At 38.6% G+C, this 15,259-nt stretch overlaps 1 protein-coding gene across 2 annotated transcripts in view; it reads left to right on the top strand.

The window, feature by feature from the left end:
• Positions 1-14,097, top strand: part of DSG3 (desmoglein 3) — a 30,962-nt gene extending 16,865 nt beyond the window's left edge. The window contains exons 10-16 of one of the 2 annotated variants that reach the window (NM_001944.3): positions 713-852; positions 1,925-2,149; positions 4,484-4,744; positions 7,679-7,818; positions 8,120-8,183; positions 9,516-9,799; positions 11,041-14,097. In NM_001944.3, the coding sequence (NP_001935.2) occupies positions 713-852; positions 1,925-2,149; positions 4,484-4,744; positions 7,679-7,818; positions 8,120-8,183; positions 9,516-9,799; positions 11,041-11,655 (1,729 nt within the window). In that variant the 3' untranslated portion in view covers positions 11,656-14,097. The remainder of the gene's footprint in view (positions 1-712; positions 853-1,924; positions 2,150-4,483; positions 4,745-7,678; positions 7,819-8,119; positions 8,184-9,515; positions 9,800-11,040) is intronic. The other variant, XM_011525850.3, reaches the window with a different exon arrangement.
• Positions 14,098-15,259: the final 1,162 nt, after the last annotated feature.

Genomic DNA, 15,259 nt, shown 5'->3' on the forward strand with positions numbered 1-15,259 from the left:
GGGAAGAATGCCTTAGCCTATCAACAGAAATTGGGAACATGTCTCATGGAAACTTACAGTTGAGTCTTACAAAGGAGTAGAAGTGCACCATGAGAACATGTTTTTATCATATAAAACAGCACTTACAAAGACATATATGCCTAAAATATAACGGCACCATGCAAAATAATTGCTATATTATACAGAGCAAGAACACAGGTATTTTATTTTATTGTGCATAGCAGATATGCTTAAGAATTATGAAATATGGGCCTGGCACAGTGGCTCACACCTGTAATCCCAGCACTTTGGGAGGCCGAGGCAGATGGATCACTTGAGGTTGGGAGTTCGAGACCAGCCTGACCAACATGAAGAAACCCCATCTCTACTAAAAATACAAAATTAGCCGTGGTGGTGCACACCTGTAATCCCAGCTACTCGGGAGGCTGAGAATCACTTGAACCCAGGAGGCAGAGGTTGTGGTGAGCCGAGATGGCACCATTGCACTCCAGCCCGGGCAACAAGAGCGAAACTCCGTCTCAAAAAAAAAAAAAAGAATTATGAAATATGGTCATCTATGCTATGTTAATTTTCTGTTGCTTTTTATAAAAGCATATTTCAATGTGAACATATATTAAATATGAATATACTAAATATAAAATGAGTCATTTTCATTAAATATGTAACATTCCACATTTGAAAGAAAACTGATTTTTTTAATATTATGAAACAGATATGTCATGGGACGTAACGATGGTGGATACCTAATGATTGATTCAAAAACTGCTGAAATCAAATTTGTCAAAAATATGAACCGAGATTCTACTTTCATAGTTAACAAAACAATCACAGCTGAGGTTCTGGCCATAGATGGTAAGAAAAATATTTGAATCATTTCAGAGGAATGTTATCGTAATTGATGTTTCTTTATGCATAGATGATTATGATTATTCAACATATTATCTTTACCACTGGAGAGAGAGAATTATCTTAGGAGTGTTGGGCCTCAAGTTTGAGGCAGCTGAATCCGGGAGAGAAAACTAAGAGTTTCAACTTCTCAGTGGAGATTGAACCAGTGAATTCTGTGTTAGGTCCCTGTGGTTTGCTGTGGTTGAAGCAGAAATTTTTTGACTGACAGAAATCCCTGGGTTTGAGGGAATGGATAAGGATTCATAGACAAAGCGCATCAGGGAATCTCAACTTGAACGTCAGGTGCTTTTGTGAGGTACCTATAGAGACCTCATGTACTTTTATCATTGAACAATGCAATTTCCTCTTCTGGAATGTTTTAAAATAATATTCATTGAGTGTATGTGTTTCCCCAAGTATAAAATTAATTTATGTTGAAGGTAATAAAAAAGATAACACCCCCCAAAAGAAATAAGTATCAAAAAGATTGCCATTTGGGAAAACAAGAAAAGAAGTAGTAAGGGTAACAACAGAAATGACACATAATGCCCCCACAGAGAGATTTTTATTTCATTATTTTTTATTTTCAGCATTTAAAATTTTTCTTTAATAAACTTTAACATTTTGAGTAATAAAAATATACAATTTTTTATTCCAAATAAAAAATGTGTGCTTTAGAAGCAGAAACTTTTCACACATTGATTACAAGTGAAATCAACACATTTAAGAAAGTTACTATTTTTGTGCTGATTTTATTTGAAATTGGTGAATTCATCATCTTACTGGTCTTGGGTTCGAGCATATTAAATTAATTCTCAATTAATTATAGTTAGAGACATCAGCCTATTTGGTAAATTTCAATTTGCTTTTTACAAGATGCAGAAATAGGATGACTATTTTTACTTCTGAGGATAATATAGTATTTCATGAGAAGACACACTGAGTTGGCTACAGAAAAGAGAAATGTAAAAGATTCTCCTTTTTTGTACAACTTTGTTCTATACATTTCTTTAACTCTAAAACATTGTTCTTACAGAATACACGGGTAAAACTTCTACAGGCACGGTATATGTTAGAGTACCCGATTTCAATGACAATTGTCCAACAGCTGTCCTCGAAAAAGATGCAGTTTGCAGTTCTTCACCTTCCGTGGTTGTCTCCGCTAGAACACTGAATAATAGATACACTGGCCCCTATACATTTGCACTGGAAGATCAACCTGTAAAGTTGCCTGCCGTATGGAGTATCACAACCCTCAATGGTGAGTAACAGTAAAGTTGCTTCTATAAATGCAAACTGCTCCTTTGTATTTCCAGAAGAATAAGGAAGATCATTTAAGAGCAGGTCCTTCCAAAAGTAACTGGAAAAATTCTTTGCAATGAAGATGTGGCTGTAGCATTGTGAATTACTTCTCTTTTCAGAAGAGAAAAGGAATGATATACTGTTAGCACCATTTCATATTTTATTTTGAATCCTTTTTAGGGTTCGTTTGATATTTTAACATTTTAAATCTGTTTATTTCTACTTCCATAGTGCACCCAAAAAAGATTAGAGTCAGGCATCTAGGTGGGGCACGGTGGCTCACACCTGGAATCCCAGTACTTTGGGAGGCCAGGATGGGAGGATCATCTGAGTTCAGGAGTTTGACACCAGCCTGGCCAACATGGTGAAACCCCATTTCTACTAAAAATACAAAAATTAGCTAGGTGTGCTGGCGCATGCCTGTAATCCCAGCTATTCAGGAGACTGAGGCAGGAGAATCACTTGAACCCAGGAGGTGGAGGTTGCAGTGAGCCAAGATCCTGCCACTGCACTCCAGCCTGGGCAACAAGAGTGAAAACTCCATCTAAAAAAAAAAAGTCAGGTATCTATTTATCACAGAGCTGTTTAGATTTCTAAATACTAAATACATAAACTTGTTCTGATGGAGCAGTCTATGAGCAGACATGTAGCATGAAGAAGTCAGTCTGCTCAAGGCTCACAGGGAGTGCCGCTTACACTATCACTAGTCAGGAACATTGAGAGCATAGCGGACTGAAATTTGCAAACCCATTATCCAACAGGGAGGAGCTAATTCATCCTTTCTCTTTCCCAACCTTTATCATACTCATTGTACATTGTCTGTGCTTTCCAGAAGTGTCATAGAAATAGACATTAGACTCCCTAAAATCTCCATCCTTTCTGGATTTTATAATGACGATGAGACCACTTCAAATCCTTAGTAAACTCATTTTTCCCTAGCTCCTTTCTGAACCAGCCTTGCTTCCTTTCATGAATGTACATGCTGTTAAAGCATGTCCTTCAGTCCTAAGTAGCAGCCACTGCCAGAGTTACCAAAGGGATCTTGATCTTCATGGTCATCTTTCCTTGGGCCCTCACACTTCTGACATAAAGATCTATCTCCAAACTGTGCATGTAGCATTTTGCTCCAAATGAGTTTACTGGATACGTGGCCAATGAAGAGGCTGCCAAAGAAAGATCAGAGAGGGCCGGGATGTGTCACAAGACATACCTGCCCAGGTGTGGCTGGGCAAGGCAACAGTGATTGGACTAGGTGGGCAAGGCACAATGTCAAAGGATATGGTGGGATCAAAAAGATTCAACAAATGCAATGCTGAACCTTACAAGAACTGTCGTGGGATCCACTTTAAAAAGGCAACATAGCAATGGGAGATAGAAAACAGTCTATGCTCAGGACTCAGATAGGCAATAGGCCATCACCACAAGGAAATCCCATATCATAGACCTGCAGCTCACGGGATAAGAACCAGGAAGAGCACTTGAGGTAGTAGCAGCCAAAGTTGAAAGTCTTGATAAGTAAAACACAAGAACACAAAGTCAGGAACACTAACACTCAAAGGGCCACACAAGTCCAAGGATTGGTGCAGACATACAAGAGAGTGGTTAAGCCCCAGAAGAGGAGTACCTGACTCTAAATGATGTCGCCCATCTTCTTTAGTGGGAAAAGCAGAGTAGAACTGAGTTTCATGGGAGAGAATAATTGGCCTACCTGCAACAGAGAGGACAAGGAGGCAGGTGTAGACAGATTTACCCACTTGAACCCATTATAGCCCTCATCACTGCTCAAACATCACTCTATTATCAACCCTATTGTTTGTGGCAACTAACTCTGCTAATGAAAATAAGTAGTAAGAGTGTAAGACACTGCTGTGGTTGGAATAGGTCTTCCAAAGCTCATGTGTTGAAAACTTAATCCCCACTGCAGTAGTGTTGAGAGGTGAGACCTGTAAGAGGAAATGAGGTCATGAGAGCTCTGTCCTCATGCATGGATTAATGGTGTTACCATGGGAGTGGGTTCATTACAGTAAGAGTGAGTTGTTATAAGGGTGAGTTCAGCCCCCACGTGCTCTCATGCTCTCTTGTCCTTCCACCTTCCACCGTGGGATGATGAAGTCCAAAGGCCTTTGTCAGATTCTGACACCTTGATATTGAGCTTCCCAACCTTCAAAACTGTGAGAAATAAATGTGTTTTCTTTATGAATTATCCAGTCTGTGATATTCTGTTATAGCAACACAAAATAGACTGAAAAGACACTTCGTCCTACTGTTGATTTGCATGATTCTTTCTCTACAGCTACCTCGGCCCTCCTCAGAGCCCAGGAACAGATACCTCCTGGAGTATACCACATCTCCCTGGTACTTACAGACAGTCAGAACAATCGGTGTGAGATGCCACGCAGCTTGACACTGGAAGTCTGTCAGTGTGACAACAGGGGCATCTGTGGAACTTCTTACCCAACCACAAGCCCTGGGACCAGGTATGGCAGGCCGCACTCAGGGAGGCTGGGGCCTGCCGCCATCGGCCTGCTGCTCCTTGGTCTCCTGCTGCTGCTGTGTGAGTAGCCAATGTTTCATTCTCTGTTGGACCAGGTGTCCTCATTTGCAAAGGCCTCCATGCTGCCCTGCTCATCTGTGCAATGGGGAAAGAATATTCTCTGATGTTTTATAGGTAAAGCTAGGGGAAAATGGCATTTTCAGAAAGAATCTGAAATGTGTAACATGTCGCTTGCTAACAGTCTATATTCATATAGCAACACAAGTTATATATGTCAGACATTTAGAAGACAGCACAAGATAATCAAGAGAAAAGCAAATCATGAAGACTTTCTACACACTGTTAGTAATGTTCATGGTCAAAATTATGGCTTTATCCAAGAGTGTGGCACTTTCTAAGATGTTTTCTCTATATTCATTACATCTCATGAGATTCTAAGATAAAAAGAGAACACTAGTCAAACAAAGTTAGGGAAATACAAATAGGGTATCATAGGCTATTAAGATATCACCACATGCTATTAATATTAATTAATTAATTAACCCCCACTAATATTAATCAATAGCATATGATATTAATATTAATATCATATGCTATTAAGATAGCTAGGTTCTGAGAAGTTATTGCTTCATCTAGCATTTCCTCAAAATAGATTGCCATCTGAATATGCATCCCCTTTAATACTTTCACATTTAATATAACTAAGTTTATTAAACACATTTAGAAAACTATGCGTAAGTATCCTTTTCCAATAAAGGTAAAATTTATTCAATAGATAGGTTTCTGAAAAGTTGTATTTGAATCAAAATCATATAAATCAAATAGTATTTGATTGTAAGAGGTCTCTATTTAAAAGAACTTCCTGACTAATTCTTGTATAAACAAGAGAAATCCTTGCTAAATTCACACTTTCTTAATTTATTATAAAAATCACAGTTTTAGAGTTAAAATTAATTATATGATTATTAATTTTAAAACCACAAAAAGTAGAGAAAATGTGTAGACAACTACACATACAACCATCACTTCAACTGAACAGATATGAATGTTTTGCAATATTTTTTCAGGTCCCTTTTTTTAAAAAGAAATAAATTGCTATAGATACAGCTAATTGCCACACATGCTATATTTTTCCCTTCCTTATTCTCCAAAAGCATTTACTATTCTAAAGTTATTATACACCATTTAGTTTAAGAGCTGAAATTGACACTCAGAGATTTGGTTTTTCAATATCGTATTAATCAAGTTCAAGAACCAGAAATTTTTAAGTACCTCTATGTGAATCACTATGCTAGCTTCTAGCTGAAAAGGAAACTTGATTTTGGTTTTCATGCATGTCTAACTATAGGGGAAAAATACCATGATAAAGCTGTAATAGAAATTACTACAAAGGGGTAATTACAGAACATTTCACGGAATAGAGGAATCATTCAATTGAGCCTTGAAGAATGATTAGGATATAATCAGTATAAAAAATGGAAAAGGCATTTCCAAAAATTGACAGCATCAGCCAAGGCCAGAAAACACTTAGTATTTTCTGTTTTAGGAATCACACAGCCTTCGAAGGCTAAAGCGCGGGGAAATTGTGGAAAGTGAAGGAGCAACAGAGAATGCATTGGGACTAATTTGAAAGGGCTACATACACATGCTGTGGTGTTTGTACTTTATCCTATGAGAAAGAGGAGCTGCTAAAAGCATTTGAATAAAAGACTAACATGATCATATTTGTATTTTAGAAAGACAACCCTGGCAACAGTGTGTACAGTATAACAGTGTAAATTAGAAAGGAAAGAACACTTAAGAGGTCATTGTAAAAGTTCAAGAGAGATGATGAAGGTCAGATTTCGAGCTGTGACATGAGACTGGAAAATAAAGGACAAGTGTGCAGTGCATTACAGTGGCCCCTGGAGAGGATTGGGAGATTAATTGTTATGGTCTGAATGTGTGTGTCCCCCCAAAAAAATTCATATGTTGAAACTTAAACCCTAAAAAAATAGTATTAAGGAGTTGGGCCTTTACCTATATTAATTCAATCCTCATAACAACCTATGATGTAGATACTATTTATTCCCCCATTTTATGGATGAGTTAACTGAGCAAAGAAGGATGATATTACATGCCCAACATTACATAGCTGTTAAGTGGTACAGCCGAAATTTAAACCCTAGAATCTGACTTCGGAGGCTGCATGCTTAAACCCCTCACTAAGCTGCCTCTAAGTGAAGAGAGTTGAAACATTAGGATTCAGGTGGCCTTGGCAGGGCAGAGGTGGCAGTGGGGCCACTGACAACAAAGTGTGGGAAACACCTGCTTTCAAGAATAAGTATTTCACTCTTGGTCAGTTCACATGAGAATGACATTAATCTTTATTGCCAAGGATGTGCACAGAAAGATATTTACGCTGCCAGAAGAGTCCTCCAAGCTTAAGCCACAACTAAGAAATTCTTAAATTACAATTAAGAATGCATTGACAGCCATTGATTAGGCTATCACCCTAGTTACTGAGGGAGTTTTCTGGTTAATTACTGTTTACTGAGAGATAATTAGAGACTAGATTACCAAAACACCATCGTGCCCACCTAAAATCTGGACCATTCTGGTCATATATTTATCTGTGTATTCACCTGACACAATATACATAGCCCCAACATGTGCAAATAAATGCAATAATCATAAAAATGTATTAAGGAAAAGGATTGAGGAGCCAAACAGCCACTTTCATTCATACATCAGTGCCTATTTTAAGAAAATATACCAAAAAAATAACAACAAGAAATGATCTGATCTGTCTCCTTCAGTTTCATAATCACATGAAATTCTAGTGTGCTTACTGTACCAAGTTTCATTTGTAGAAACTAATTTTGGTTTTCATTAGGAATTTTCTACAAATATTTAAGATACTGTATTTTCTTTGTAACATTTCTGAAAAATTATCACATTAAATAGTTCCTAAATTAGTCAAGTGTTCTGATGTTTTGTTTTGTTTTTCACTAGTGGCCCCCCTTCTGCTGTTGACCTGTGACTGTGGGGCAGGTTCTACTGGGGGAGTGACAGGTGGTTTTATCCCAGTTCCTGATGGCTCAGAAGGAACAATTCATCAGTGGGGAATTGAAGGAGCCCATCCTGAAGACAAGGTAAGCATCCAGTTCATAAATTATGTATTTCAATTACATAGAGAAAATGTTTGATTTACATTGAGATAGGAAAAGAGGCAAAGAGATTTCTTGACCTTCAGTTTCAGAGTCAGTGCTGAATAGATGGAGGCTTTTAGGATTTTAGCTCTTCAGATGTCAAATCACAGAAATGGTTATCGCTGAAAGAATTTGCACTTCTTGTAATGTTATCATTTACAAATTTGCAAAGGGCCACATGTCACTATATTGCTCTGAAATCTGGTTCACTTTTAAATGAATTTATTTTTCACATGGTTTGCAGGAAATCACAAATATTTGTGTGCCTCCTGTAACAGCCAATGGAGCCGATTTCATGGAAAGTTCTGGTAAGTGGACATAAAATGTTTGAAAGCAATGGTGAGTTAAGTGGTAAATATTAAAAAATAAGAAGTGTTCAAACTATCTTCTTAATAATTTGCATCTGTGTGCACATGTCAGGAGCTGTTACCACTGAAATGGAGAAAAGCTGTTTTAATATTTTTATATTAGTCAATTCCCTGACATGTCTGGCTTCAATAAGTTAATTTATCCATTGATGCCACCATTGTCAATATCTAAAGATCTGTTATACTTTTTCCAAACTTTAGTGACGTGTAGTTCTCAGGCAATCAATTACTAATTTTTTAATTAGGAAAGACTTCACACATATAGAAAAATGTAAGGGAAAATATAACGAACATCTATGTATCCACCACCCAACTTTGTCTTTTCCAAACATTAGTCATATTTTCAGTTAAAGTCTCATGTGCACATCCTTGATCCTGTTCCCCTTCTTTCTTCCCCAGAACTAACAGTATCCTGATTTCAGTTCAATTACTAATTCCTGCATTCAGTCATACTAGGACATGATCACTTATGTTGTCATACAGGTCATACAGGTGAATTTGTTTATTTCTTTGGTTTTACCAAGTGGCTATTGCATTAATATTATCTGAGTGCCACAACTACTCAGTGAACTAAAAGAACAATAATACTTAATGCCTAATATTAAAGTTTTGCTTAATTCCATAGATTGTTTTCAAGTGTCCATCCTGCAAAATCCGCATGAGATTTCCCCAAATATGTAACTGTCTTCCTTTATCAGATGCTCCACTCCTCACCTGCTTTTCCCATTAGAATTACATAGCAAGAGCTATGTAAAGAATTATCTAGAAAAAAGTAACTTTCCATGAAAGCATAATGTCAAGGTAACAGGCTGAATAGTCATGATTTGTTAAATTCTCTTTAGGTACCAAGACATGCTAATTTGCATGATTACATTACGTATGTTTCCTCTTTGGTTTCCATACTGAGCTCATAGGACTGCTTAACTATAATGTTTTTTCGTGAAAACAAACAAGCATTGCATTAGAAGCTTCCCATAACTGTGTACTAAATATCCTGTCTTTTCTATTTCTGGCTGTTGTCACTGAAAATCTTATTTCTTTGTACACTTTTAAAATTAGTATATTTTTAGAGCTTTTTCACCCGTTTATATGCCCTCCTTTGTGACTCTCACATAACACATTGTGGGATGTTATCACCTCTAGTCATATAATTGTATTTTCTCCCACTTACTTGTTTGCATGGTGACTGCTTATAGACACCCAAGACCCATTTTATAAAAATGCAACAAACAACAGCATAAGATATTACAGAATGTTCTCCCTTGTTTTTAGAAGTTTGTACAAATACGTATGCCAGAGGCACAGCGGTGGAAGGCACTTCAGGAATGGAAATGACCACTAAGCTTGGAGCAGCCACTGAATCTGGAGGTGCTGCAGGCTTTGCAACAGGGACAGTGTCAGGAGCTGCTTCAGGATTCGGAGCAGCCACTGGAGTTGGCATCTGTTCCTCAGGGCAGTCTGGAACCATGAGAACAAGGCATTCCACTGGAGGAACCAATAAGGACTACGCTGATGGGGCGATAAGCATGAATTTTCTGGACTCCTACTTTTCTCAGGTAATTTGGTGAAAAACTTTGTGGCTTGATTATCTTATTTACATTAGAGAACTTTTTATTTGATTATATACTTCAGTTTTGCAGTTTTTATTTACAGCTTGTTAAAATGCAAGAAAAAAATGGTTTGTTTGTTTTTTGCCAAAATAATACAGATAACCTAAGGTAGCTGTCAAAATCGGGTCACTGATCAAAAGAAGAATGGGAGCCAGGCACAGTGGTACATGCCTGCCATCCCAGCTACTCGGGAGGCTGAGGTGGGAGGATTGCTTGCACCCAGGAGGTAGAAGCTGCAGTGAGCTATGATGGCACCACTGCACTCCAGCCTGGGTGACAGAGTGAGACCTCGTCTCTAAAATAAACAAATTAATAACAAAAGAAGAATGAGTAGATAACCACAACATGAGAGCATATAGCAAGTAGTATCTCATTCCTCCAACTGAACAAACAATTGAGGGCAAATCTCTTTTATGTGAGAATTTCTAGCATCTTCTTTAAGAATACAAAGCAGTTCATTTTGTATTTCCTGTATCATAAAGGATATCCAAATACCTGTGTGTATATTTTCCTGAGAGAGGGGTAGAGTATTCACATTATCTGTCTAAAAAAGTTGAAGAACCACTGAATTAATGACCCCCAAAAAAGGGGAGGCAAAAAGAATAGGATGGAAGATCAGTGATGGGAGGAATGACATGTCAGGAAGCATAGAACAGAAAAGGAACATAGTTATGAAAACAAAGAAGACTTTGAAAAGTAGGATGCTTGCCTCTCATTTGATAACCAAAGATTAGTGGGCAGAGAGGCACGGTTAGAATGGATCTCACATTGAGTTTTGGTATCAATACTGGTAAGTGCCAAGGTCTGACCTAGTATCCAAGCAGACAAAGAGTGATATTGTGTTTGAAGAAAGACTGCAGGGCAGGGGAGAAAGGGAGGGGTTGTTTGAGATGAGGACTCTTGGGATATTTCTAGGTGGGATGTGTGTTACAGTCACATGTCAGGCTCCCACAAGATTTGTAGAATCTAGACAAAGGTTCTAGCTCAATTTTGAGGTAATGTCAACCATACTGTTGTCCAAACACCAGATAATGTTTTGAACAAGATTGTTAATAGACAGTGTCCTTTATTTCTATGGATTACCTAGTTTGGGCATTCATAATCCAAATGAGTTCTACAAACAGTATTATATTGTTCAACTGACTCTTTCTTAAAATTCATTTTTTCCCACTTTTTCTCTGTCTTAGAAAGCATTTGCCTGTGCGGAGGAAGACGATGGCCAGGAAGCAAATGACTGCTTGTTGATCTATGATAATGAAGGCGCAGATGCCACTGGTTCTCCTGTGGGCTCCGTGGGTTGTTGCAGTTTTATTGCTGATGACCTGGATGACAGCTTCTTGGACTCACTTGGACCCAAATTTAAAAAACTTGCAGAGATAAGCCTTGGTGTTGATGGTGAAGGCAAAGAAGTTCAGCCACCCTCTAAAGACAGCGGTTATGGGATTGAATCCTGTGGCCATCCCATAGAAGTCCAGCAGACAGGATTTGTTAAGTGCCAGACTTTGTCAGGAAGTCAAGGAGCTTCTGCTTTGTCCACCTCTGGGTCTGTCCAGCCAGCTGTTTCCATCCCTGACCCTCTGCAGCATGGTAACTATTTAGTAACGGAGACTTACTCGGCTTCTGGTTCCCTCGTGCAACCTTCCACTGCAGGCTTTGATCCACTTCTCACACAAAATGTGATAGTGACAGAAAGGGTGATCTGTCCCATTTCCAGTGTTCCTGGCAACCTAGCTGGCCCAACGCAGCTACGAGGGTCACATACTATGCTCTGTACAGAGGATCCTTGCTCCCGTCTAATATGACCAGAATGAGCTGGAATACCACACTGACCAAATCTGGATCTTTGGACTAAAGTATTCAAAATAGCATAGCAAAGCTCACTGTATTGGGCTAATAATTTGGCACTTATTAGCTTCTCTCATAAACTGATCACGATTATAAATTAAATGTTTGGGTTCATACCCCAAAAGCAATATGTTGTCACTCCTAATTCTCAAGTACTATTCAAATTGTAGTAAATCTTAAAGTTTTTCAAAACCCTAAAATCATATTCGCCAGGAAATTTTCCTAAACATTCTTAAGCTTCTATTTTTCCCCTGCCAAAGGAAGGTGTTTATCATTTTAAAATGCAATGTGATTTAGTGGATTAAGCAGGAGCGCTGGTTCTTGTCTCCATTGCCTTTTCTTATATCATTGATAATGATGTAAGAATCACAAGGGGCCGGGCGCGGTGGCTCACGCCTGTAATCCCAGCACTTTGGGAGGCCGAGGCAGGTGGATCATGAGGTCAGGAGATCGAGACCATCCTGGCTAACAAGGTGAAACCCCGTCTCTACTAAAAATACAAAAAATTAGCCGGGCGCAGTGGCGGGCGCCTGTAGTCCCAGCTACTCGGGAGGCTGAGGCAGGAGAATGGCATGAACCCGGGAAGCGGAGCTTGCAGTGAGCCGAGATTGCGCCACTGCAGTCCGCAGTCCGGCCTGGGCGACAGAGCGAGACTCCGTCTCAAAAAAAAAAAAAAAAAAAGAATCACAAGGTATTTGCTAAAGCATTTTGAGCTGCTTGGAAAAAGGGAAGTAGTTGCAGTAGAGTTTCTTCCATCTTCTTGGTGCTGGGAAGCCATATATGTGTCTTTTACTCAAGCTAAGGGGTATAAGCTTATGTGTTGAATTTGCTACATCTATATTTCACATATTCTCACAATAAGAGAATTTTGAAATAGAAATATCATAGAACATTTAAGAAAGTTTAGTATAAATAATATTTTGTGTGTTTTAATCCCTTTGAAGGGATCTATCCAAAGAAAATATTTTACACTGAGCTCCTTCCTACACGTCTCAGTAACAGATCCTGTGTTAGTCTTTGAAAATAGCTCATTTTTTAAATGTCAGTGAGTAGATGTAGCATACATATGATGTATAATGACGTGTATTATGTTAACAATGTCTGCAGATTTTGTAGGAATACAAAACATGGCCTTTTTTATAAGCAAAACGGGCCAATGACTAGAATAACACATAGGGCAATCTGTGAATATGTATTATAAGCAGCATTCCAGAAAAGTAGTTGGTGAAATAATTTTCAAGTCAAAAAGGGATATGGAAAGGGAATTATGAGTAACCTCTATTTTTTAAGCCTTGCTTTTAAATTAAACAGCTACAGCCATTTAAGCCTTGAGGATAATAAAGCTTGAGAGTAATAATGTTAGGTTAGCAAAGGTTTAGATGTATCACTTCATGCATGCTACCATGATAGTAATGCAGCTCTTCGAGTCATTTCTGGTCATTCAAGATATTCACCCTTTTGCCCATAGAAAGCACCCTACCTCACCTGCTTACTGACATTGTCTTAGCTGATCACAAGATCATTATCAGCCTCCATTATTCCTTACTGTATATAAAATACAGAGTTTTATATTTTCCTTTCTTCGTTTTTCACCATATTCAAAACCTAAATTTGTTTTTGCAGATGGAATGCAAAGTAATCAAGTGTTTGTGCTTTCACCTAGAAGGGTGTGGTCCTGAAGGAAAGAGGTCCCCTAAATATCCCCCACCCTGGTGCTCCTCCCTCTCCCTGGTACCCTGACTACCAGGAAGTCAGGTGCTAGAGCAGCTGGAGAAGTGCAGGCAGCCTGTGCTTCCACAGATGGGGGTGCTGCTGCAACAAGGCTTTCAATGTGCCCATCTTAGGTGGGAGAAGCTAGATCCTGTGCAGCAGCCTGGTAAGTCCTGAGGAGGTTCCATTGCTCTTCCTGCTGCTGTCCTTTGCTTCTCAACGGTGGCTCGCTCTACAGTCTAGAGCACATGCAGCTAACTTGTGCCTCTGCTTATGCATGAGGGTTAAATTAACAACCATAACCTTCATTTGAAGTTCAAAGGTGTATTCAGGATCCTCAAAGCATTTTAACCTTGCCGCTTAAAACCCAATTTACCGTGAAATGGGAATTTTGCTGCATTGTTAAACTGTAGTGGAAACCATGCTATAGTAATAAAGGTTATATAAGAGAGAAATTGAAATTAAATGTGTTTTTAAATTTCAAAAAAAAATCAATCTTTAGGATGACTTAAAAATTGATTTGCCATGTAAAATGTATCTGCATTTTTTACACAAAACTTGTTTTAAGCATAAAATTTTAAAACTGTACTACTTGATGTATTATACATTTTGAACCATATGTATTAAACCATAAACAGTATAATGTTGTTATAATAAAACAGGCAATAAATTTATAAATAAAAGCTGAACTACTCTCTATATTAATAGTTATTAAGAAATATGATTATAAAACAGCAGTCCCCAACCCTTCTGGCACCAGGAATCACTTTTGTGGAAGACAATTTTTCCACAGACGGCGGCAGGGATGGTTTCAGGATGAAACCGTTCTACCTCAGATCATCAGGCATTAGATTATCATAAGGAGCAGGCAACCTAGATCCCGCATATGCGCAGTTCGCAATAGGGTTCACGCTCCTGTGAGAAACTAATGCCACTGCTGATCAGACAGGAGGCGGAGCTCAAGCTGGATTGCTCACTTGCCCGCAGCTCACCTCCTGCTACGGCCTGGTTCCTAACAGGCCACAGACAGGTACTCTGGGGGGTGGGGGCAGGGTTGGGGACCCCTGATATAAAATGACTCACGTATGTATTTTTATCAGTATTTTAGCTATTTTTTCTAGCTGATTCCTTTTCTGCATCTTCCAGGCAGGAAGGAAGTATGTCAAGATTCGGGATGACTTCAGGTGGACATAGTGCAGGAGAAAGTGCTGGATGAGGTCAGGGCAGAGGGACTTTACTAACTGGATGCTTTAAGTCATTTACTGTTTATTTTGCAAGTTGCAATTGTCTCTCAGGTAACTGAGAGATCACTGTTGTGACATTCAAAAGTTGTGACATTCTAAGATGACTTGGGGAGAAAAGCTGGAGTAAAGAGAAGGTAATGTTTACAATCTAGCCTGATGAAAAATGCGTACCATGTCACTGGTGAAAGCCATCAGCCCCAGAAGTGGAACTGTTTTTCTGTAAATGCTAAAGTCCTTATGTCTCCTTTTAAAAGATGCCACAGAATAAGTCCCTCCAACGCTTCAGAACTTTCTTCTGGCTGACCTTCCTCCTTCTTAAATCTGATCAATGAGGCTTGGACATGGAGTATGGGGAGAAAAAGAAACTGGATTAAAGCAAATATTGAGTAAAGAATGGTAGTTGGCTTAACTCAAATGTTTCAAATCAATTCCAGGAAAATGAAAGTCATGTAGATAAAATCCAAAAATATTACCAGCTTCTTCTATTCATAGAAAGTTCAAGGAACGAAAGTGACAAAATCGGTTTAGTTTTACCTGAGGACCTTCATACGTGAGGTAAGAGTGTGAATGGGACACATTCAACTGACTAGTTTCAATACAACTAACA

Source organism: Homo sapiens, chromosome 18, assembly GCF_000001405.40.
Source record: "Homo sapiens chromosome 18, GRCh38.p14 Primary Assembly".
In the NCBI taxonomy this organism is placed as follows: Eukaryota; Metazoa; Chordata; class Mammalia; order Primates; family Hominidae; genus Homo; species Homo sapiens.